Source organism: Homo sapiens, chromosome 16 (assembly GCF_000001405.40).
Source record: "Homo sapiens chromosome 16, GRCh38.p14 Primary Assembly".
Lineage (NCBI taxonomy): Eukaryota > Metazoa > Chordata > Mammalia > Primates > Hominidae > Homo > Homo sapiens.
Genome location: NC_000016.10, coordinates 74,583,869 through 74,609,026, shown reverse-complemented (window position 1 = coordinate 74,609,026; position 25,158 = coordinate 74,583,869). Strand labels below are relative to the sequence as shown.

At 44.7% G+C, this 25,158-nt stretch overlaps 1 protein-coding gene across 5 annotated transcripts in view, besides 2 other annotated features; it reads left to right on the top strand.

Annotated features, from left to right (window-relative positions):
* Window positions 1,743-1,932: a silencer, noted in NCBI's record as "silent region_7698". NCBI's record gives its function as "represses an Ori minimal core promoter by ATAC-STARR-seq in GM12878 lymphoblastoid cells {active_cell/tissue: GM12878}" and the evidence as "EXISTENCE:reporter gene assay evidence [ECO:0000049][PMID:35858748]".
* GLG1 (golgi glycoprotein 1) overlaps window positions 1,913-25,158 on the top strand; it is a 159,675-nt gene continuing 136,429 nt past the window's right edge. For all 5 annotated transcript variants that reach the window (NR_027265.2, NR_027264.2, NM_001145666.2 and 2 more), the window contains exon 1: window positions 1,913-2,370. Coding sequence is in view for 3 of the 5 variants with exons in the window: in NM_001145666.2 (NP_001139138.1) it covers window positions 1,933-2,370 (438 nt within the window). In the remaining 2 variants the exon portion in view is untranslated. The remainder of the gene's footprint in view (window positions 2,371-25,158) is intronic.
* Window positions 2,163-2,342: a silencer, noted in NCBI's record as "silent region_7697". NCBI's record gives its function as "represses an Ori minimal core promoter by ATAC-STARR-seq in GM12878 lymphoblastoid cells {active_cell/tissue: GM12878}" and the evidence as "EXISTENCE:reporter gene assay evidence [ECO:0000049][PMID:35858748]".

Here is a 25,158-nt window from a genome sequence, read left to right as displayed (position 1 = left end):
TTCTAGTTAAACTGGCTTAAAATAATCTCCCACTTGTCTGAACACATGCAGACTCAGCATTGAAAATTAATGGAGGCCAGGCGCAGTACCTCACGCCTGTAATCCTAGCACTTTGGGAGGCTGAGGTGGGCAGATCGCCTGAGGTTTGGGGTTCGAGACCAGCCTGGCCAACATGGCAAAACCCCGTCGCTACTAAAAATACAAAAATTAGCTGGGTGTGGTGGCACATGCCTGTAATCCCAGCCACTCGGAGGCTGAGGCAGGAGAACTGCTTGAACCCAGGAGGTGGAGGTGGCAGCTCCGAGCAGAGATCACGCCACTGCACTCCAGCCTGGGCAACAGAGTGAGATTCCGTCTCAAAAAAAAAAAAAAAAAATTAACATACGCTAGTGACATCTCAAGGACTTCTGGTGATGTGTCCAGCCTGCCTGACTGAAACTTACCTATGCCATGTGTTTGCTAATAAACATGGGGCTGCCTTAGTCAGTGCTCAAGGTTAGCAGCAGCCTCATGATCATTTTATGACAGTAGCAAAGGTGACCGTTGGTGGAGATGCCAACAAGCTCTCATTCCCCATGATAGAGGCCTGGGGTCAGCCACAGTGGGTAATTTGTACTCACAGAATATCTTCAGTCTCAGGAGCTCCTTTTGGGTTCCCTGAGCTCCTGACTTTTCAGGTTCTAGTTATGTCTAACTTGGTCTTGACTGCTCATTTGCGGGTCAGGACAGCAGAAGCTGTCTGTTTACTACAGTAGATGTAATTCGCATTTTTGGACACAATGACCAGTGGAGATTACACAACCCAAACTGCCCTCATTCCCCAACATGTGCATGGACAGAGTGGGATGAAAGTGCGCCAGGGTGGTGGGAAGCCCCAGGGATTCTGGTGGCTAGCCTAGCTGTCTACAGGATGGCAGAGTTCCTCTTGGGCAGCTCATTTAATCCCTCCACGCAGAACTGTTAACATCTCTGTGCCATTCTTCAGTTAAATGAGAACCTAACGCAGGCCTGATGCATGGCTCAGATTACACAGCGGATGTGAAGAGGCTTTGGGAACATATCCTCTCTCCTAAGGACAGGGAGGGGATGCTAGTGTGGGGTGCCTGCGGTGTTGCATGCAGGTCAATGAGAACAGTTACCGACACACAGACTTAACCCGAGTCCTCAAAGATGTGTTTTATTATTATTTTTTCATCCTTTAAACATGAATCTAAATGCTGGCTTAAAATCAGGATTCATGCATAAACGGCTTCCCAGTTTATTAACAATACTGGCTGTGACTTTTTGAGTTCAGTGTTGTGGGCCAGGCACTTAAATTATTATTTCGAATCTTGCCAATGGTACTTTACATTTGAGCTCTTGCGTACCCTGCCAGAGCAAGGATTATAACCTTAATTTTTTTTCTTACCCCAGAACTTATGCTCTTAACCCTATTCAATGCTGTCTCTCTCTTTGGCTAAGAAAGACTTCTGAGGCAGATGGAAGGAAGGAAGGAAGGAGGGAGCGATACAAGGAGAGGCTTTCCGATTCCGTAATACACCTGGTTGTGCAAAGTTCACCTCTACATATAAAGTTTTTGTTTTCCAAGTCATTGAACCGGCGACATATTCTACCGGCCATTTTGGTTGTGGCAACCCCAATTCCCTTGATTTTTTTTTTTGTGACAGCAAATGGAATTAGAGTAGGCCGCCCTGCCCGGGCTTTTTAAGAAACCCCAGCAACCCCCCCGGGTAAGGAGCGCCGCTCTCCCGCCCGCCGGTCCAGGGTGTGTGCGGTTTCCAGCACGGCCTCCTCCTTCGCCCCACTCTGGGTTCGCGGGTCGGCGCCGGCGGGGCGGGGCTCGGCAGGGCCACGCTGCCACGCCCAGCGTCTCCACCCCCTCATTTAAATACGCGGCGCCGGCGAGTGCGTCGAGCTCGCCGCGGACTCAAGATGGCGGCGTGTGGACGTGTACGGAGGATGTTCCGCTTGTCGGCGGCGCTGCATCTGCTGCTGCTATTCGCGGCCGGGGCCGAGAAACTCCCCGGCCAGGGCGTCCACAGCCAGGGCCAGGGTCCCGGGGCCAACTTTGTGTCCTTCGTAGGGCAGGCCGGAGGCGGCGGCCCGGCGGGTCAGCAGCTGCCCCAGCTGCCTCAGTCATCGCAGCTTCAGCAGCAACAGCAGCAGCAGCAACAGCAACAGCAGCCTCAGCCGCCGCAGCCGCCTTTCCCGGCGGGTGGGCCTCCGGCCCGGCGGGGAGGAGCGGGGGCTGGTGGGGGCTGGAAGCTGGCGGAGGAAGAGTCCTGCAGGGAGGACGTGACCCGCGTGTGCCCTAAGCACACCTGGAGCAACAACCTGGCGGTGCTCGAGTGCCTGCAGGATGTGAGGGAGGTGAGGAGGTGGGACGAAGCCGGGAGGGCCAGGCCTGGTGCGGGCCCGAGGGTGTTGCCGGCCTTGGAAGCCGCTGACGCCGGTCGGCTGCTTTCCTTGCTTCCTCTGTGCTGCACTCGCTCCTTCCCTCTTTGCTCCTCACTCCCAGGCGCTTTCAGGGAAAAGGATACCACTCCCACTCCTTCTTTCCCCCGCCCTTATTTCCCTCCCTGTTGCCGGGGTCTGGGACGAAAACCTGGGCTCCTGGCCGCAATCCGCCGAGGCCCAGAGCGTGTCTGTTCGCTCCTGTCTTTTGTGTGATGCTCTATGCAGAGTGTCTCCTCGCCGAAGATCAGTTTAGGATTTTGCCATCAGTTTCGACTAGGACAATTTGTGGCAAGCCATTTAAACATAAAAAAATGCCTGGCGTACTTAGGCTGTAAAGAATGATCTGTTTATTAGCAGTAGATGTAATTCGCAAATCCATATTTTTGGTGCTGAAATTAATGTATGCTTTGTTTTCTTCACTTCCTTTGGTCAGTTGTATTGAACCCCATGTTTAAGCTGTTAACTCCCAGTGACTTGGCGCCCCAAAGCTTGAAAAGTTGGGGAAGCGTTTGAAGCTGTGTTTGTGACTGGGTTATGGGATCTTGCCTTTCTGAGGTCTGAATGTGATTTTAACAGTATCTCTTAATGAAATCTACATTTGTCGTTGCTTGGTGTGATTCAGTTGAGTGACATTGATAATTTATAATCAAGTGACATTGATAATTTATAATCTAGGTTTAATGCTGCAGACCATAATGACAATTCTCAAAGTTTGGGAGCAAATCTGACAGTAGTAACTTTTTCCAGAGGTGTAGGTATATAAAATTAGCCCTAAAGGTGGACAAATAGAATGAAGCTACCACTTGATACTGTTTTTGGTTTTTTTTTTAAATATCAGATTTGTTTAAGGCGTTCAAGCTATAGCAAGACCACTTGCTTGTAGAAATTTGCTTCTCTTGGCATTTCCCCCCTTCATCTCGTGTTCTAGTATTCTATACAAAAGCAATTCAGATAGAGGAAAAGACATACATAAGCAGGAGACAGAAAGAAAGGAAGTTTCCAGAGCCCCTAGAAATGTGAGGCCTTACCTGACTTCTCATCTTCAGCTTAACGACTAGAGGGATAGTCCTCTGGTAGATACAGCTAATATTCCTAACTCTGTCGAACTTTTTGGAATTTTCTTTTCGCTCTTTGAGGACACATAATAGATGTCGTTTCATCAAACTAGGATCCTAATACTGGTGACCAAACAATTAGTAGTAGTTTGTGGTAGAAACAGCACATTATTAGGGAAAGTGGCAAAAAGTGGCCTATTCAAGGAGTGTATATATCCTTCATGTGTATTCCGGACATTTGGAAACCTCCACTTAAAGGAGGCAGTTTTATGCTCCAGAGGAGGAAAGGCGTCATATAAATTGGAAATGGGGGTTTTGGGGGGTTGGGGGGAGGTGGAGGGACCAAATTTCCAATTTAATGTTTTTTCCTCCAGTTTTTACATACAGAAATAATGAAGGAAGAGTACTGTGAACACCTATGTGTATTCTTCAGGAGGTGGAGTTATTTTTAAACTTCTTTTCTTTTTTTTGAGATGGAGTCTCACTCTGTCGCCAGGCTGGAGTGCAGTGGCTTGAACTTGGCTCACTGCAACCTCCACCTCCCGGCTTTAAGCAATTCTGCCTCAGCCACCTGAGTACCTGGGACTACAGGCGAGCGCCACCACGCCCAGCTAATTTTTGTATTTTTAGTAGAGACAGGGTTTCACCATGTTGGCCAGGATGGTCTCGATCTCCTGACCTTGTGATCTGCCAGCCTCGGGCTCCCAAAGTGCTGAGATTAGTGGTGTGAGCCACCACCCCCACCCTATTTTCTTTTTCTTTAAAGACAGCGAAAGGAAATTTCATTCTGCTTAGTCTGGGAGTTAATTAAATCTGATCTATGTGTTTGAAAGAGCATAACTTAAAGAAGTAAACTAGTTAGGCACATTTGAAGAAACATGTATAGAATATGTTTTGTATTTGCTGTTCAGTAAGTAGAACTATTTGATAGTGAAATAGATATATGTACTTTTCTGTCCCTTTGCATGCAAATGCAGGGAACATTTTCCTATCCGTACCCATTATTGGAATTATGAAAAGGCAGAGCATATGAGTACAGTTGTTCCTTGGTATCACTGGAGGATGGTTCCAGGCCTCCTGCAGATATTGAAATCCAAGGACGCTCAAGTACCTTATACCGTATAAAATGGTGTCGTATTTCCATATCATCTGTGCACACCCTTCCGAATTCTTGTCTTCTCTAAAATACTTGTGATACCTAGTACAGTGCCTACATATCAGTTCATTCATGTGGATTCACTGTAGTACTTGGCATATGTCAAACTTAACTTTTGCTTTTTGGAACCTTATGGAACTTTTCTTTCTGAAAAAAAATTTTTTATTATGGAGACAGGGTCTCGCTCTGTCATCCAGGCTGGAGTGCAGTGGTGCAGTCATAGCTCACTGCAGCCTCAGTCTTCTGGGTTTGAGAGTTCACTGAAGCCTCCACATTCCGGGTTCAAGTGATCTTCCCAGCTGGGCTTTCCAAAGTGCTGGGATTAGAGTTGTGAGCCACTGTGCCTGGCCTTGGGATTCTTTTTTTTTTTTTTTAACGCTCTCGGATGAGTCATGCTTTTAAAAAGGCCAAGTATATCATGGGTCCACTATGAAATAATAGATGTAATAGCCAGTAATGGTGTGTTAGTAGTCCTAGTTGTGTGTGTATAATTATTAGTAGTTCAAGTTATTTAAATAAAAACAAAAAATTAGAAAGTGTAAGGCAGAAAAGAAAAAATATTCCCTGGGCTGTTCTAGTAGGTGGAGTAATAATACCAAAGAAAGAGAAGATACTGTTGCTTAGTATGTGATAAGGAAGGCATGCTTGATGTTGTCAGTCATTTTAAAATACTTTACTTATTCTTGGTTGAAATGGCCAGTAGCACTTTTTTTTTTTCCACTAGTGTCTTGTATTTCGAAGTTTCAGATGGAGACCTTGGTTCCTTAGAAGTTTGTGGTGTTCAGCCGGGCGCAGTGGCTCACACTTGAAATCCTAGCCCTTTGGGAGGCTGAGGCAGGAGGATTGCTTGAGCTAGGAGTTCAGTACCAGCCTGGCAACATAGTGAGACACCGTCTCTAATAAAAAGTTTGTGATGTTCATAGATTAGATTTTCTTTTTTTTTTTTTTTTGAGACGGAGTCTTATTCTGTTGCCAGGCTGGAGTGCAGTGGTGTGATCTCGGCTCACTGCAACCTCTGACTCCCTGGTTCAAGCAGTTCTTCTGCCTCAGCGTCCCAAGTAGCTGGGATTACAGGCACGCACCACCTCGCCCAGCTAATTTTTGTATTTTTAGTAGAGACAGAGTTTCACCATGTTGGCCAGGATAGTCTTGATCTCCTGACCTCATGATCTGCCCACCTTGGTCTCCCAAAGTGCTGGGATTACAGTCATGAGCTATTGCGCCTGGCTGCTGCTGCTGCTGCTGCTGTTGTTGTTGTTGTTGTTGTTTGAGACGAAGTCTTGCCCTGTTGCTCAGGCTGGAGTGCAGTGGCACAATCTTGGCTCACTGCAACCTCTGCCTTCTGGGTTCAAGTGATTCTCCTGTCTCAGCCTCTTCATCACCTTGGCCAGGCTGGTCTTGAACTCCTCACCTTAGGTGATCTGCCTGCGTCGGCCTCCCAAACTGCTGGATTACAGGCATGAGCCATTGTGCGTGCCCCATAGATTTTCTTACACAGAAGTAGAGAGAATAGGGTAATGAGTCCCTGGGTATACATCACCCAGCTTCAACTGTTCCCACCCTTTTTTTTTTTTGAGAGACAGAGTCTCACTCTGTCACCCAGGCTGGAGTGCAGGGGCACGATCTTGGCTCACTGCAACCTCAGCCTCCCGAGTTCAAGCGATTTTCCTGCTTCAGCCTCCCAAGTAGCTGGGACTACAGGCATCCGCCACCACACCCGGCTAATTTTTGTATTTTTTAGTAGAGACAGGGTTTCACTATATTGGCCAGGCTAGTCTCGAACTCCTGACCTCGTGATCTGCCCGCCTCGGCCTCCCAAAGTGCTGGGATTACAGGCGTGAGTCACCGCGCCCAGCCCCGCCCTTTTATTTTTAGGGCACAGGGTTGGGAGGCTGGCATATTTAAAAGCAAATCCCAGATACTGTCATTTCAAATACTTCAAGCATGTCTGTGATAAATACTTTTTAAAAACTAGAAGGTTTTTTTTGTTTGTTTTTGTATTTAAATGTATAATCTTTCTTTTGCAAGTAATTCTGACACTAAAAAGAAAAACATAAAAAAATTCTTTCTTGCCACCTTTTCTTGATATATCAGTCTCAGATTATAAATTTGTAGCCATGCTCTAAGCTTTGCACAGAGTGAATGCTTTGTAAATATTTAAATAAACTAATTTAGGTATTGAACAGGAATTAACATTTCAGTGTTGCAAACCATAAACCCCCTTTTAGACTCATAGGTAAATATTTTTATACTCTGCTTTTAACCTTTCACTTAACTGTATACTTGAGATAGTGGACTACACCATCTCTATTGTCTCACTGTTGATAATGACTATCATTATCAATGATAATGATAATGAGGTGCTAGTGCTAGTGCTAGTGTTATTCTTTTAGCAGAGAAATAGGCTCAAAGAGCTAAAGTAAGTTGTCTGATGTTATATCCTAAGTGGTAGAGCTGGTGTTCAGGAAGTCCTTTTTGACTTAAAAGACCATACTCTTTCTAATGTACCATGGGTGGTTGTAGCTAAGGACATTAGTCTGTGACTGTTGAGAATGCCATAGGTTTATAAATGTATGCTAAATGGGACACAAGAACAACTGAGTTGTAACAGTGCATTGAAGTATTTGTAGATTTCTCAGGCAAATGCGTTATCACCCAACGCTAATTTAATTAGTCTGAGTGCATCATAAACCGAATTTCTGCTTTATGAAAAGAGTTTCAAATCCCAACTCACCTTAAGCAGGATTTGTACTAGAACACTGGAAGCATTTAGTTGTATTTCCTTGATATTTATATTGAATCCATGGAACATCACAAAAAGTGAACTGAGACTAGAGCTGTCAGTGCCATTAACTAACAAATGACTGTAAGCATTTTCTCTCTCTGCTTCCTGATGTGTTAAATGAGTAGTTGGGGTATACTTTTTTTTTTTTTTAATTTTAAGAGAGACAAGGTCTTGCCGGGTTGCCCAGGTTGGTCTCTAACTCCTGAGCTCAACCGACCCACCCTCCTCTGCCTCCCGGATGCTGAGGTTACAGGCGGAGCCACCACACCCTGCCCCTACAGTACGGTTTCTAAGATCTCTGCTGTCTAACTTATATGAGTCGTTTCCTGTATATATTCTCTGGGTATGTATATATTGTAAAGTTTCTAGGATTATATATGTACCAGTTCCTGATTCCATATTCATTCATGGAGGGAATCAGTGACAATGAATAATTCAAACAGCAATTAATCCAAACATTGTTTGGCTTTAGGATATATTATGATTGTTTTGTTTGAGCCAATATGGAATTTCCTCCTATGCTGTCTGTCTGGTTGGAAGCAATCTAACCACATAATCAAGTCATTATTGATCTTCTATTATACACCTATCATTGTGGAAGGACACTAGTACTTTAAGACACCACCATTGCTTACAGTTGGTTTGATAAGTGAGATTGTTGTGATCGAGAAGCGATTATATAAGAGTGTTAATCACTTGATGTCATACAGATAGTAAATTATTTTAGGGCAGTGTAATAAGACAAAATTAGGATTTAGATTTGGGTGGAACACAGCTCTGCTATTCTTAGCTTGAAATTTCTGTCACTGTTTTTTTTTGTTTTTTTTTTTTTTTTTTTTTTTGAGGTGGAATCTTTCTCAGTCGCCCAGATTGGAGTGCAATGGCGTATTCTTGGCTCACTGCAACCTCTGCCTCCTGGGTTCAAGTGATTTTTCTGCCTCAGCCTCCCGAGTAGCTGGGACTGCAGACATGCGCTACCACACCCGGCTAATTTTTGTATTTTTAGTAAAACGGGGGTTTCGCCACACTGGCCAGGCTGGTCTTGAACCTCTGACCTCAAGTGATCTGCCTGTCTTGGCCTCCCAAAGTGCTAGGATTACAGGTGTAAACCAGTGCACCCGGCCTCTTTTCTTAAGCAAGGACTGTCTACTTTAGCTTTGTCCTTGTTCTTTTTTTTCTTTGAAAGTCTTACTCTATCTCCCAGGCTGGCTGGAGTGCAGTGGCATGATCATGGCTCACTGCAACCTCAAACTCCTGGGCTCAAGCTCTCCTCCCACTTCAGCCTCCCGAGTAGCTGGGACTATAGGTACACAACACCACTTAGCCTTGTTCTAAGCGGAAATATACGTGAACTCATGAATTTGATGTGGTAGGTATACTTCTCTAATATATATGAAACTAAATATATGACTATAAAATATAAGTACCAACACATACCACCTGAAATCATCTTGCATATTACCAATAGCACATGCTTCAGAAAGCACTAACACTGGATTATCTTTCTCTGTTGTTTTTTTGTTTTGTTTTGCTTTTGGTTAAGACGGAGTCTCGCACTGTCACCCAGGCTGGAGTGCAGTGGCGCGATCTCACCTCACTGCAACCTTTGTCTCCTGTATTCAAGCGATTCTCCTGGCTCCACCTCTCTAGTAGCAGGGATTACAGGCACCAGCCACCATGCCTGGCTAATTTTTTTTTTGTTTTTTTTTTGAGACAGAGTCTAGCTCTGTCACCCAGGCTGGAGTGCAGTGGCGCGATCTCGGCTCACTGCAAGCTCTACCTCCCGGGTTCACGCCATTCTCCTGCCTCAGCCTCCCGAGTAGCTGGGACTACAGGCGCCCACCACCATGCCCGGCTAATTTTTTGCATTTTTAGTAGAGACGGGGTTTCACCATGTTGGCCAGGATGGTCTCGATCTCCTGACCTCGTGATCTGCCCACCTCGGCCTCCGAAAGTGCTGAGATGACAGGCGTGAGCCACTGTGTCCGGCCGAGGCTTGGCTAATTTTTGTATTTTTAGTAGAGACGGGTTTTCACCATGTTGGCCAGGCTGGTCTTGAACTCCTGACCTCAGGTAATCCCACCCGCCTTGGCCTCCCAAAGTGGTGGGATTACAGGCGTGAGCCACCGCTCCTGGCCTTGGATTATCTCTTAAGATTCTTCCAGCTCCGGTGCTTTGTGATTTTGTGATCTGTGGGAATACAAAACGTGTGCAAGAGAGTCGTAGCACAGGTGGAAAGGGGAGATGCTTTGGGGAATTATTAAAGGGGCTGTATTGACCGAAATAGAGAACTTGAAAATGTTTTCAGTCCAGGTCATGAAGGGTCGTATATTCACCTCTAGCTGGTTCTCCAAGTAAAGTCCAGAAATGGGATGTTTTTATCCCTACCTCAGATAAAAATATTACAGCAGATAATTGAGAATTACCTGTAAAGTAGCATTGTCGTTTATGGCAAATACTTTTTAAGAAATCTCTTGATGAGAATGCTTTACAGTATATAGTTGCTTAATAATTCATTGTTCTGTAGAAGGAAATAAAATACTTGAACAGTCCAAAAGATGAAATGCTGTATTTCTCTTTTGTGCATTTCTCCTAATGTGTTCAAAACAAATTTACTCAGGAACAATAACAAAAATCTCCTCTTTATATAAGTTATATATATATATATTTATATATTTGTTGTTGTTGTTTTGAGGTGGAGTTTCGCTCTTGCTCAGGCTGGAGTGAAGTGGAATGATCTCGACTCACTGCAACCTCCACCTCTCGGGTTCAAGCCATTCTCCTGCCTCAGCCTCCCGAGTAGCTGGGATTATAGGCACTTGCCAGCACACCCGGCTAATTTTTGTAGAGACGAGGTTTCACCATGTTGACCAGGGTGGTCTCAAACTCCTGACCTCAGGCAATCCACCCACCTCAGTCTCCCAAAGTGTTGGGATTACAGACGTGAGCCACCGCGCCCGGCCTTATTTATATATTTTTAAAAGCAGCAGTTAAAATGGCTTATAGGCTATCATGTAAATTAATTTTTCTTCTTTCTTTTTTCTTTTTTTTTTTGAGATGGAGTCTCATTCTGTCACCAAGCTAGAGTGCAGTGGCGCGATCTCGGCTCACTGCAACCTCCACCTCCTGGGTTCAAGTGATTCTCCTTCCTCAGCCTCCCGAGTAGCTGGGACTACAGGCGCCCGCCACCACGCCCGGCTAATTTTTTGTATTTTTAGTAGAGACGGGGTTTCACCATGTTGGCCAGGATGGTCTTGATCTCTTGACCTCGTGATCCGCCCGCCTTGGCCTCCCAAAGTGCTGGGATTACAGGCGTGAGCCACCGCGCCCGACCAATTTTTCTTCTTTCAGCAAACATTTATTGAAACCTGTGTGCAAGACACTGCTCAGTGTTCAAGTATACTACTGCTACTTATAATGGTTAGCATTTACTGAGGGTTTTCTGTGTGCCCTGTTCTGAGGGACTGGATGCTTTCTAGGCGTTATCTCATTTAATCTTATGAGAGATGTTTTATTATTATCATTCTTATTGATTTTGTTTGTTTGATTTTGTTTTCGAGACAGAGTCTTGCTCTTGACGCCCAGGCTGGAGTGCAGTGGTGTGATCTCAGCTCACTGTAATCTCTGGCTCCCGGGTTCAAGCGATTCTCCTGCCTCAGCCTCATGAGTAGCTAGGACTACAGGTACACACCACCATGTCCAGCTTTTTTTTTTTTTTTTTTGAGGCAGTCTCACTTTGTCACCCAGGCTGGAGTGCAGTGGTGCGATCTCAGCTCACTGCAAGCTCCACCTCCCGGGTTCACGCCATTCTCCTGCTTCAGCCTCCCGAGTAGCTGGGACTACAGGCGCCCGCCACCATGCCCGGCTAATTTTTTGTATTTTTTAGTAGAGATGGGATTTCACTGTGTTAGTCAGGATGGTCTCAATCTCCTGACCTCGTTATCCGCCAGCTTCGGCCTCCCAAAGTGTTGGGATTACAGGCGTGAGCCACTGCGCCCGGCTAATTTTTGTTTTTTTAGTAGAGGCAGGATTTCGCCATGTTGGCTATGCTGGTCTTGAACTCCTGACCTCAGGTGATCTGCTTGCACCACCATCTATCACCGGAGCTTTTTTTTTCTTTTTTCTTTCTTTTTTTTTTTTTTTGAGATGGAGTCTCACTCTGTCATCCAGGCTGGAGGGCAGTGGCATGATGTCAGCTCACTGCAACCTCAGCCTCCCTGGTTCAAGCGATTCTCCTGCCTCAGCCTCCTGAGTAGCTGGGACTATAGGCGCACCCCACCACGCCCAGGTAATTTTTGTATTTTTACTAGAGACGGGGTTTCGCCATGTTGGACATGCTGGTCTTGATCTCTTGACCTGGTGATCCTCCCGCCTCGGCCTCCCAAAGTGCTGGGATTACAGGCGTGAGCCACTGTGCCTGGTGAGTTTTGTTTTGGGTTTTTTTTTTGTTTGTTTGAGACGAGGTCTCACTCTCTTGCCCAGGCTGCAGTGCAGTGGCATGATCATGATTCACTGCAGCCTCTGCCTCCCGAGCACGAGTGATCATCCCACCTCAGCCTCCTGAGTATCTCCTCCTTAGTAGTAACCATACTCGGTTAATTTTAAAAGTTGTTTTTTTTTGTAGAGATGAGGTCTCACTCTGTTGTCCAGGCTGGTCTCCAACTCCTGAGTTCAAGCAGTCCTCCTGCCTTGGCCTCCCAGAGTGCTGGAATTATAGGCATGTGCCACTGTACCCAGCCTATTACATCCTATTATTTTTAGTGAGAAAACTGATTCTAAATAGCTTGCCTCAGGGCTTGTAAGTAGTGGAATCAAGATTTGAAAACAAGTCAGTCCAGCTGTGTGATAGCTCATTTTCCCCCCTGTCCCTAAAGCATAAGTAACCTAGGACTGCACTGTCTACTGTGGTAGTCATCAGCCACGTGCAGCTAGTGAACAGTTGAAACATGGCCTGTTTGAATTGAGATGTGCTGTAAGTATAAAATACACATTTGATTTTGAAGATTTAGTACCAAAAGGATGCATAATATCACAATAATTTTTTTTTTGAGGTGGAGTCTCTTGTGGCCCAGGCTGGAGTGCAATGGCACGATCTTGGCTCACTGCAACCTCTGCCTCCCGAGTTCAAGCAATTCTCCTGCCTCAGCTTCCCGAGTAGCTGGGTTTACAGGCACACGCCACCACTTCTGGCTAATTTTTGTATTTTTAGTAGAGAAGGGGTTTGACCATGTTGGCCAGGCTTGTCTCGAACTGCTGACCTCAGGTGATCCACCTGCCTTAGCCCCCCAAAGTGCTGGGATTACAGGCATTAGCAACCACGCCCAGCCCACAATAAATTTTTTTTCTTTTTTTGAGACAGAGTCTCGCTCTGTTGCCCAGGCTGGAGGGCAGTGGCATGATCTCAAAATGTGTACACTTTGAAGGGGTAAATCCTCTGGGTAAAGGAATTAAGTTCTGCCAAATTTGGAATACTGCCTATCAAAGGAAAACTCCACTTTCACGTATAAGGGGCAACCTCTGCCTCTCAGGTTCGAGCAATTCTCCTGCCTCAGCCTCCCGAGTGGCTGCGACTATGGGCATGTGGCACCATGGCTGGCAAATTTTATATTTTTAATAGAGATGGGGTTTCGCCATGTTGGCCAGGCTGATCTCGAACTCCTGACCTCAGGTGATCCACCCGCCTTGGCCTCCCAAAGTGCTGGGATTACAAGCGTGAGCCACTGTACCTGGCCCAATAATTTTTATATTGTTTATGTCTTAAAAAAAATTTCGATATATTGGGTTAAATAATAAATTACAAAATCAATTTTACTTTTTAAAAATAAATGACTACTAGAAAACATAAAATTATGTATGTGTCTCACATACTTATGAATAGCACTGATCTAGAAGAAAAAGATATCTTTACTGAAAACCATAATACAAGTTTTAAAGTAATAAGTGTCATAAGAGAAGAATAAATTAAATGCTGTAGGCGTACAGTACAGGAAATGGTTGGGAGAATCAGAAAAAAAAGCCCTTCAGTACTTTCTTTTTTGAGACGGAGTCTTGCTCTGTCGCCCAGGCGGGAGTGCAGTGGCGCGATCTTGGCTCACTGCAAGCTCTGCCTCCTGGGTTCATGCCATTCTCCTGCCTCAGCCTCCAGAGTAGCTGGGACTACAGGCGCCCGCCACCACGACCGGCTAATTTTTTGTATGTTTAGTAGAGACCAGGTTTCAACGTGTTAGCCAGGATGGTCTCGATCTCCTGACCTTGTGATCTGCCTGCCTCGGCCTCCCAAAGTGCTGGGATTACAGGCGTGAGCCACCACACCCAGAGCCCTTCAGTACTTTTAATTCTTCTTAAATTGGTGGTTCATGTTAATTAAATTATTATTATTTTTTTTTGAGACGGATTCTTGCTCTGTTGCCCAGGCTAGATTGCAGTGGCGCGATCTCCGCTCACTGCAAGCTCCGCCTCCCGGGTTCATGCCGTTCTCCTGCCTCAGCCTCCTGAGTAGCTGGGACTACAGGCGTCTGCCACCACGCCGAGCTAATTTTTTGTATTTTTAGTAGAGACGAGGTTTCACTGTGTTAGCCAGGATGGTCTTGATCTCCTGACCTCGTGATCTGCCCACCTCTGCCTCCCAAAGTGTTGGGATTACAGGCGTGAGCCACCGCGCCGGCCTTAAATCAACATGGTTTGATTTGATAGGCAGTATTCCAAATTTGGCAGAACTTAATTCCTTTACCCAGAGGATTTACCCCTTCAAAGTGTACACATTTTGAGATCGTGCCACTGCCCTCCAGCCTGGGCAACAGAGTGAGAGTCTGTCTCAAAAACAAAACAAAACAAAAGCCTCCTAATCTTGTTCATGAGTAGATTTCATCTTCCGAATGCCTAATTTATGAGTTGTAAGGGGTGCTTTAGCTCCTTCCACTTGAGAACAATACTCTGATAAAACTGGAGGTCAGTTAGTGACTCATCTTATTTTGGTTGCCTTAGATAGATTTGAAACTTAAGAAAAGATCCTAAGTGATGGTCCTCAGAACTGTGCCAGTACTACCCTTTGTATCTGCATTAAAATAGAGTGTGAAGGAACAAGGAGTGTGGACTGGAATCTAAAAACAATGACTTAAGAGAACCAGGCATCTGTAGTCATTCAGCTTTAATAATTTTACTGAAATCAGAAAGTTTTGTTTGACTGAATGTGTGATATTTACAGGACCTGTACATTTTCCTATTAAAGGCTTGAATAACACCTATAATTCTTGATAGGGTGAATCATATTAAAAATGGGTGCTGACTTGAATCCTGGATCTATACACTTGTAAAATAAAACAAATTCTTAAAATAATTTTGTGTTTCTTTAAAAAATAAATGTGATAGGCTGGGCGCAGTGGCTCACACCTGTAATCCTAGCACTTTGGGAGGCTGAGGTGGGCAGATCACCTGAGGTCAGGGGTTCGAGACCAGCCTAGCTAACATGTCGAAATCCCGTCTCTCCTACCAATAAAAAAATTAGCCAGACATGGTGGCGCATGCCTGTAACCCCAGCTACTCAGGAGGGTGAGGCAGGAGAATTGCTTGAACCTGGGAGGCGGAGGTTGCAGTGAGCCAAGATCGTGCCATTGCACTCTAGCCTGGGCAACAGTGAGACTCTGTCTCAAAAAAATGACAACAAGAAAAAAATAAAAATGTTATACTTATTTAAAATCATAAGAATGATAAACAATGAAGTGAAATGGTAGATGAGTAAAATTAACCAGGAGAATAGGAATGTAAGTTCTACATCAATTGAAATACAAGTTTTAAACAAATGACAGCAAAAGAAATTATGTTAAAAATGCTCTGGTACCTGGCCAGGTGTGGTGGCTCACACCTGTAATCCCAGCACTTTGCGAGGCCGAGGCGGGCAGATCACCTGAGGTCAGGAGTTTGAGACCAGCCTGGCCAACGTGGTGAAACCCTGTCTCTACTAAAAATACAAAAATTAGCCAGGCATGGTCACACATGCCTGTAATCCCAGCTACTCAGGAGGCTGAGGCAGGAGAATCGCTTGAACCTGGGAGGTGGAGGTTGCAGTGAGCGGAGATCGCGTTATTGCACTCCAGCCTGGGTGACAAGAGTGAAATTCTGTCTCCAAAAAAAAAAAAAAAAAAAAGCTCTGGTACTTCACTTGTAATTTAGGTGTAAACTATAAAGACTGCCCTGCAAGTCATTTAACAGAACTCTCAAAATTCTTGCACTGGCCATATCAGCTCTGTAATGTGATAAATAGCATGAAGTGGACAGTAACTTCAACGATGCAGAAAGGGGTGTAATGGAGAATTTTAATCATTGACAAACGTAATGCCATCTGTTAATTAGTGCCATTGTCTGAGTCCATTTTGTGTTGCTATAACAGAATACCCAAGACTGGGTAATATATAAAGGAATATTTATTTGGCTCATGGTTCTGGAGGTTGGGAAGTCCAAGATTGAGAGGCCATATCTGGTGAGGGCCAGCTTGCTGCATCATCCCATGGCAGAATGTGGAAGGGCAAGAGAATGCAAGAGGGAGGGCGGGCTTGCACAAGGAATGTGCAGAACTCATCCTTTTATCAGAACCCCACTCCCAGGATCACGGAGATAAGGGCATTAATCCATTCATGAGACCAGTGCTCTCATGACCTAGTGAGCTCTTAAAGGTCCCATCTCTCAACACTTGTATTGGGGATTAAGTTTCCAACACATGAACTTTGGGGGACATATTCAAACGATAGCAGCCATTTGCTGAGGACACACCTATTATATATGAAATAAAATAAGAAGAGAGAAGGTCCTATAGTCATGTGAAGCTTGTGATGAGAGGAAAAGCATTGTGGTAAATGGAAAAATAGAATGGGCTTTGGAGCTGCAGTCCTGGATTCAAACCCTAGCTCACTTACCAGTTATTATGATGTTGGGCAAATTAATCTCTCAGACCTCCAGTTTTCTTATTTATAAATGGTCTTCCCTTTCCCCTTTGTTGTTATAGGTGAGATCATTCGAGATAATGCTTTTTGTTCGCTGCCTTAAGAGAAGTGTGAAATAAACTGGAATGCTTCACACCCTTTATATAATCCTTCCAGAGCTTCTTCCATAAAGCTTTGGAATAAGGTCAAGAACATTTATATAAACAGTCCGGGTGCAGTGGCTCTCAGCACTTGGGGAGGCCAAGGCGGGTGGATCACCTGATGTCAGGAATTCAAGAACAGCCTGGGCAACATGGGGGAAACCCTGTCTCTACTAAAAATACAAAAATCAGCAAGGTGTGGTGGCATGTGCCTATAATCCCAGCTACTCAGGAGGCTGAGGCAGGAGAATCGCTTGAACCCAGGAGGTGGAGTTTGCAGTGAGCCAAGATCGCTCTATTGCACTCCAACCTGGATGACAGAGCAAGACTCCATCTCAATCAATCAATCAATCAGTGAATAAATTACAGAAGGCCAGGCACAGTGGCCCACAGCCCAGCACTTTAGGCGGCCAAGGTGGCAGATTGCATAAGCCAGAGGTTTGAGACCAGTTTGGCAATACGGTGAGAGCCCAACTCTACATACATACATATATGCATGGTATTTAAATGTGTACACTATGAAGGGGTAAATCCTCTGGGTAAAGGAATTATGTTCTGCCAAATTTGGAATACTGCCTATCAAAGGAAAACTCTGCTCCCACGTATAAGGGGAAAAAGAATAGTTCAGAAGACTGCTTTTTTTCCCTGTATAAAACCAGATAAATTCAAAAATTACTGAAATTTTTCTGAAAGATGGTGACTTTTCAGAGGGAAAATAATATGTAAGGCCTTTTGCTCTCATATTTCCCAGGTTGGAACATTTCTCTGGCCTGTGAAACAGTCTGTGATACTAAGATATAAATACTAAACTTAGCCATACGTTAAGGACAGCGCAAAAAATTTTTGGTTTGTAAGTCTTCTTTTTTTTTCGAGACAGAGTCTTGCTCTGTCTCCCAGGCTGGAGTGCAGTGGTGCGATTTCGGCTCACTGCAAGCTCCGCCTCCCGGGTTCAGGCCATTCTCCTGCCTCAGCCTCCCACGTAGCTGGGACTACGGGCACCCGCCACCACGCAGAGCTATTTTTTTGTATTTTTAGTAGAGATGGGATTTCACCGTGTTAGCCAGGATGGTTTCGATCTCCTGACCTTGTGATCCACCTGCCTCAGCCTCCCAAAGTGCTGGGATTACAGGCGTGAGCCACCGTGCCAGGCCTTTATTTTTTTTTTTTGAGATGGAGTCTTGCTTTGTCACCCAGGCTGGAGTGCAGTGGCACGATGTTGGCTCACGGCAGCCTCCGCCTCCCGGGTTCAAGTGATTCTTCTGCGTCAGCCTCCTGAGTAGCTGGGACTACAGGTGCATGCCAAGACACCCAGCTAATTTTTGTATTTTTAGTAGAGACGGGGTTTCACCGTGTTGGCTAGGCTGGTCTCAAACTCCTGACCTCGTGATCCGCCCACCTTGGCCTCCCAAAGTGCTGGGATTACAGGTGTGAGCCACGGCATCCGGCCCTGTAAGTCTTCTTTCAGAAGTAACTAGGCAGCAGAGTTTTGAAATAGTTGAAAATCCACAACTTCATTTTCATATTTTTATATTTTAATTTTTTTTTTTTTTAACAAGAAAGGCCCTCCTTTGACACAATTTCATTTTAAAACTCTGAGTTTGGTAGGTTTGTTAGAACCTGACTTATGTGTATTGATAGCAGCTTTTAGTGTGTCTGGTGGTGGTGATGCTTTCCTTTTTTTTTTTCTTTTTTTTTTTTTTTTGAGACAGTTTCACTCTTGTTGCCCAGGCTGGAGTACAGTGGTGTGATCACGGCTCACTGCAGCCTCTGCCTCCCAGGTTCAAGTGATTCTCCTGCCTCAGCCTCCTGAGTAGCTGGGATTACAAGCATGTGGTGTCACCACGCCCGGCTAATTTCTTTTTTTTTTTTTTTTTTTGGAGACGGAGTCTCACTCAGTTGCCCAGGCTGGAGTGCAGTGGTGTAATCTCGGCTCACTGGAAGCTCCGCCTCCTGGATTCACGCCATTCTCCTGCCTCAGCCTTCTGAGTAGCTGGGACTACAGGCGCCCGCCACTACGCCTGGCTATTTTTTTTTGTATTTTTAGTAGAGACGGGGTTTCTCCATGTTGGTCAGGCTGGTCTCGAACTCCTGACTTCAGGTGATCCGCCTGCTTCGGCCTCCCAGAGTGCTGGGATTACAGGCGTGAGCCATGGCACCTGGCCTGAAACTTCTTATAATGGTAAAAAAAGAAAAATTATCGGCTAGGCACGGTGGCTCACGCTTGTAATCCCAGTATTTTGGGAGGCCGAGGTGGGCGGATCACGAGATCAGGAGATCAAGACCATCCTGGCTAACATGGTGAAATCCTGTCTCTACTAAAAAATACAAAAAACTTAGGTGGGTGTGGTGGCGTGCGCCTGTAGTCCCTACTACTTGGAAGGCTGAGGCAGGAGAATGGCATGAACCCTGGAGGCGGAGCTTGCAGAGATCGTGTCACTGCACTCCATCCAGCCTGGGCTACAGAGCTAGACTCCATCTCAAAAAAACAACAACAACAACAAAAGTGAAGTTTCAAGAATTTGTACTATCGGTATATTTTTATTATTTATTTATTTATTTATGAAACAGAATCTCACTCTGTCACCTAGGCTGGAGTGCATTGGCTGGATTTCAGCTCACTGCAACCTCTGCTTCCCGTGTTCAAGCAATTCTCCTGCCTCAGCCTCCTGAGCAGCTGGGACCACAGGCGTGTACCACCGTGCTCGGCCAAGAATTTTTACTATTGGTATACTTTCCTTTTCAACTTGAGAGTATATGTGAAATAGGAGAAATTAGAGCACTGAAAGCAGAAGTCAGAAGACATTGTTGTGTTTCCCTTCCTCTTGTGGAAATTCCCATTCTTTAGCCCAGATTCTCAGCCTGCTTGCCTCTGCTTCGCACTGGCTCCATACACATCTTGCTGCCCCACACCCGCAAATAAATAGTGTAGTGGTGTGGGCTTTTGGAGAGTACAGAGTTACAGCTTCAGAGTTTACAGGGCTTATATGTAAGTGTTATTTTTGGGAAAATATTTTATATCAGTGGTTTGGGAATTTGCTGCACCAAAATATTTCCCAGTGCCCTTCCCTCAGCACAGCCCGCTGCTTCTCTTCCCCTGCCAGCTAGGTCTGCTTTAGGCATTGTTTTCTTCCTTCATTTTTGTTAGATTGAATGAACTATAAGAAATTACCAATATTTCATCATATTTGACTTATAAAAACATTTTCATATGGTTTAACATAATTGTTCTTTTTTTTTTTTTGAGACAGAGAGTTTCACTCTTTCACCCAGGCTGGAGTGCAGTGGCGCAATCTTGGCTCACTGCAACCTCTGCCTCCTGGGTTCAAGTGATTCTCCTGCCTCAGCCTCTCGAGTAGCTGGGATTACAGGTGCACGCCACCACGCCCGTCTAATTTTTTGTTGTTGTTGTTGTTCTTTTTGTAGAGACGGGGTTTCACCATGTTGGCCAGGCTGGTCTCGAACTCCTGACTTGAAGTTATCCACCCCCCTCAGCCTCCCAAAGTGCTGGCATTACAAGCATGAGCCACCATGCCCGGCCACTCACCAAATACATTTGATTTAAAAAAAAAAAAGGATATTGGTCTAACAACCTTTTCCCTATTTGATTATTCTTAGTCAAGTTGCTATTTAGCTTTCAGTTTATGGAACCCTTTTAATCTTATTTGTAGCTCTTGATAACCATGTGTGGTAGATATGACAGATATGAGACTTATTTTACAGGTGAAAAACCACGAATCAGATAGATTTTTATTTGCCCAAGTCACATAATGTTAAGAACAGGCCAAGTGTGGTGGCTCATGTCTGTAATCCGAGCACTTTGGGAGGCTAAGGCGGGTGGATTTCCTGAGCCTAGGAGTTTGAGATCAGCCTGGGCAACATGGCGAAACCTCATCTCTACAAAACATACAAAAATTAGTCAGTGTGGTGGTGAGAGCCTGTAGTCCTGGCTACTTGTGAGGCTGAGGTGGGAGCATCACCTGAGCCTGGGAAGTCGAGGCTGCAGTGGCAACAGAATGGGTAACCTGGACATCAGAGTGAGACCCTGTCTCAAAAAAAAAGAAAGAAAGAAACAGAGCTTAAATTCAAATCCAAAAAGCTTAAATTCAAATCTTTTAAAATTCAAAGCCTCTGTCTTTCCATGTTACCACATTGCTTCTCTGTTATTTTTCACATTTACATAGATAACATATTTTCATGCTATTTTTTTTATATTTTTATGCCCCTACCATTTTTATTTAAATCCATCAACAAATATTTGATCACATACTATTTGCCCACTATTTCTTCAGACAGTTTTTTTGTCCCTCTTTCTCTCCTGGGCTCTAATCTTATGTAGGTTAAATTGATTGCTATTGTCCCACAAGTGGGCTCTGTTTTTAATCCCCCCACCAACGCTCCCCCTGTTTTTTTTCTCTCTGTGTTTCATTTTGGATAATTGCTATTGCTGATCTTCAGGTTCACTGATGTTTTCTTTTGTAGTTTTCAGTCAGCTATTAATACCATCCAGTGAATTTGTATTTTAAGTATATTTCACCTATAGACGTTTGATTTGGGTGTTTTATTTATATATTCGATTATCCATTATGTTCATGTTTTTCTTTACACCCTTTAGTGTACTTGCAATAGCTGTTTTTTTCTTTTTTGAAGCGGAGTCTCACTGTGTCGCCAGGCTGGAGTGCAGTGGTGTAGTCTCAGCTCACTGCAACCTCCGCCTCCCAGGTTCAAGTGATTCTCCTGCCTCAGCCTCCGGACTACAGGCACGTGCCACAATGCCCAGCTAATTTTTGTATTTTTAGTGGAGACGGGGTTTCACTGTGTTGGCCAGGATGGTCTTGATCTCTTGACCTCGTGATCGCCCACTTCGGCCTCCCGAAATGCTGGGATTACAGGCGTGAGCCACCGTGCCCAGCCGTAATAGCTGTTTGAGGTCCTCATGTGCTAATTCCATCATGTCTGTCATTTCTTGATCTTTTTCTATTGATTAAGTTTTGTTATTAGTCATATTCCTGCTTTACAAGTGTGGTAATTGTTTATTAGATTCAAGGGGATCCCTCCACAAATCTCCTGTGACCATTCTCAGTACAGAACTCTTTATTCTCACTCTTTCTTGGTTCCACTATTCAAATCTTTCAAATTCTAGCTGCTTTAGATACCCTAAAGTTTAATTTCTCTCCTCTTTTCAGCAAGACTATCCAATTCTGTTTGGGTTCCCTCTCCCTGTGTTGCAGCCGGGAAGCCACTTCCATACAGTAAGCTAGGTAATCATCGGCTCACCTGGTTTGTTGCCTTCTCTCAGGGATCATAGTTAATGCTGCCTGTTGTCCAGTGACTGAAGGTTACGTCATATATTGTGTCTCGTTCACAATGGGAGTAAGGGAGATAGTTTCCATAGTAGTTAATCCTCATGAGTGGAAGTAGAAATCATTACTTCTTGGATTTTAACTTCTGACATATTAAATGTGGGAAGGAATGGGGAGAATTTGTTAGAAAGAGAGATTAATGAGGCCAGGTGCGGTGGCTCACGCCTATAATCTCAGCACTTTGGTAGGCTGAGGCAGGCAGATCACCTGAGGTCAGGAGTTGAGACCAGACTGACGAACATGGTGAAACCCCATCTCTACTGATAATACAAAAATTAGCAGGGTGTGGTGGTGGGAGGCTGTAATCCCAGCTACTTGGTAGGCTGAGGCAGAATTGCTTGAACCCAGGAAGTGGAGGTTGCAGTTAGCTGAGATCACGCCACTGCACTCTAGCCTGGGCAACAATAGCGAGACTACATTTCAAAAAAAAAAAAATTAGAATTACAAATGTGTGTGTATTTTGATCCAAAGTTCTGACTTTATTAAAACAAAAAAATTAGCCAGGCGTGGTGGCAGGCTCCTGTAGTCCCAGCTGCTCTGGAGGCTGAGGTGAGAGGATTGTTTGAGCTGAGGAGATTGAGGCTGCAGTGAGTTATGATTGTGCCACTGCACTCCAGCTTGGGTGACAGAGCGAGACCCTGTCTCAAAAAAAAAATTATCTTTCCATTGCCCAATGGAAAAATATTTAAGCATGATATAATTTCATTGTGTGTCAAGGTGGTCAACTTGTCTTGTAATTGAGTTGAGCTAATAATAAGCCCTTTACCAGTGTACAAGATAAAAGATTTCCTTTCAGTTCATGTGCTAATTAGGACAAAACTAACTTCCATAAAAAACCCAAAAATATCAGTGGTTGAACACAAGAGAAGTTGTGGGGGACTGTGATGCAGTCATCTGGTGATCCAGAGACCCAGGTTCCTTTTATCTTGTGGTTCCATTCGTTTCCTAGGGCCTTGCCTTTGTTTTTGTTTTTGTTTTTTTCCTTATCAGCTCTTTCTAACTCATTGAGATGAAATTCACTTACCATAGGATTCACCCTGTTTACCACCTGTTCTTGTTTTTTTTTTTTTTTTCCGATACAGAGTCTTGCTCTGTTGTCCAGGCTAGAGTGCAGTGGTGTGATCTCGGCTCACTACAGCCTTTGCCTCCCGAGTTCAAGCAGTTCTCCTGCTTCGGCCCCCCAAGTAGCTGGGATTACAGGCACCCGCCACTACACCTGGCTAATTTTTGTATTTTCAGTAGGAACAGGGTTTTATCATAATGGCCAGGCTGGTCTTGAACTCCTGACCTCAAGTGGTCTACCCACCTTGGCCTCCCAAAGTGTTGAGATTACAGGCATGAGCCACCTCATCCGGCCAAATCTTACTTTAGATAACTAAACTTTATTTGTCATAATTTTACTTAGAGGCCTTTTTTTTTTTTTTTTTTGAGACGGAGTCTCAGGCTCTGTCACCCAGGCTGGAGTACAGTAGCGTGATCTTGGCTCACTGCAAGCTCTGCCTCCTGAGTTCACGCCATTCTCCTGCCTCAGCCTCCTGAGTAGCTGGGACTACAGGCGCACACTACCATGCCCGGCTAATTTTTTTTGTAGTTTTAGTACAGACGAGGTTTCACCCTGTTAGCCAGGATGGTCTCAATCTCATGACCTCATGATCCGCCCATCTCAGCTTCCCAAAGTGCTGGGATTATAGGCGTGAGCCACCAGGCCCGGCCTCTTTTTTGTTTTTTTGAGACAGAGTCTCGCTCTGTTGCCCAGGCTGCAGTGCACTGCTGTAATCTCAGATCACTGCAGCCTCCACCTCCTGGGTTCAAGTGATTCTCGTGCCTCAGTCTCCCGAGTAGCTGGGACTACAGGTGTGTGCCACCACGCCCAGGTAATTTTTTGTATTTTTAGTAGAGATGGGGTTTCACCATGTTGGCCAGACCAGTCTTGAACTCCTGAGCTCAGGTGATCTGCCTGCCTTGGCCTTCCACAGTGCTGGGATTACAGACATGAGTCACTCACTGTGCCTGGTCAATTTTACTTAGAGTTTTTGAATCTGCGATTTAAAGATAGGGTTTTAAAAATTTTTTTTATTTCAATAGATTTTTGGGGAACATGTGGTGTTTGGTTACATGAATAAGTTCTTTCTTTAGTGGTGATTTCTGAGATTTTGGTCCACCCATTACTCGAGCATTGTACACTGTACCCAGTGTGTAGGGGTTTTTTTGTTGTTTGTTTGTTTTTACAAGTCTCGCTCTGTCGCCAGGCTGGAGTGCAGTGGCACAATCTCAGCTCACTGCAACCTCTGCCTCCCAGATTCAATAGATTCTCCTGCCTCAGCCTCCCAAGTAGCTGGGACTACAGGCGCGCACCACCACACCCAGCTAATTTTTGTATTTTTAGTAGAGATGGGGTTTCATCATGTTGGCCAGGGTAGTCTCGATCTCTTGACCTTGTGACCACCCGCCTCAGCCTCCCGAAGTGCTGGGATTACAGGTGTGAGCCACCGTGCCCAGCCCCCAGTGTGTGGTTTTTTTATTCCTCAACCGCTTCCCACCCTCTACCCCAAGTCCCCAGAGTTCATTATATCATTCTTATGCCTTTGCCTCTTCATAGCTTACTTAGCTCCCTAGGATTTAAGGATAGGTTTCTAAAGTGAAACTGAAACTAATTGGTAAGAGTGTTATAAATAATATTAATCATGCTTTGTAAGAAAGATACCCTAAGAGATGGTTTATAAATGTATTGCTAACAAAACTTCGTTAATTAATGTTAGGCATTTATGATGCAATTAATAGTAACATTTCCAAGTTCATATTATTGTCTGCAAGGAGAATAAAGGAGAGTCAAAGAAAACAGTCAATGTTTTTCGAAGCCGTGCATGGCTAGTGGGAAGGGTCCTGAGCAGCTGGCATTACTGTTCTTGTCAAAGCTGGCTGTCTATTGAAATGTCTATATTAACTTAGTTTTGTTTTCGGGGGAACTAGGAGGTCTATAAACATTCTTGGGTAGGAGAATGTCATGATGAAATAGTTAAGGAAATTACTCGGGGCACTATGAATTGAAGTGAGGAAAATTGAAGGCGCTGAGAAAGCTGCTGTTACAATGAGACCTCAAAACAGACTTGGGCCAAAGGAGACTAGTAGCAAAGGAGATAGAAGTGGGATTGATGGGGACTTCTTACCTAGGAAAAATTTACAGTGCTTTTGTTCATTCGTTTGACAAATTTTGGGTAAATATTATTTACTGTGTGCCAGCACCTTAATTGTAGGTGCTGGGAATGTGG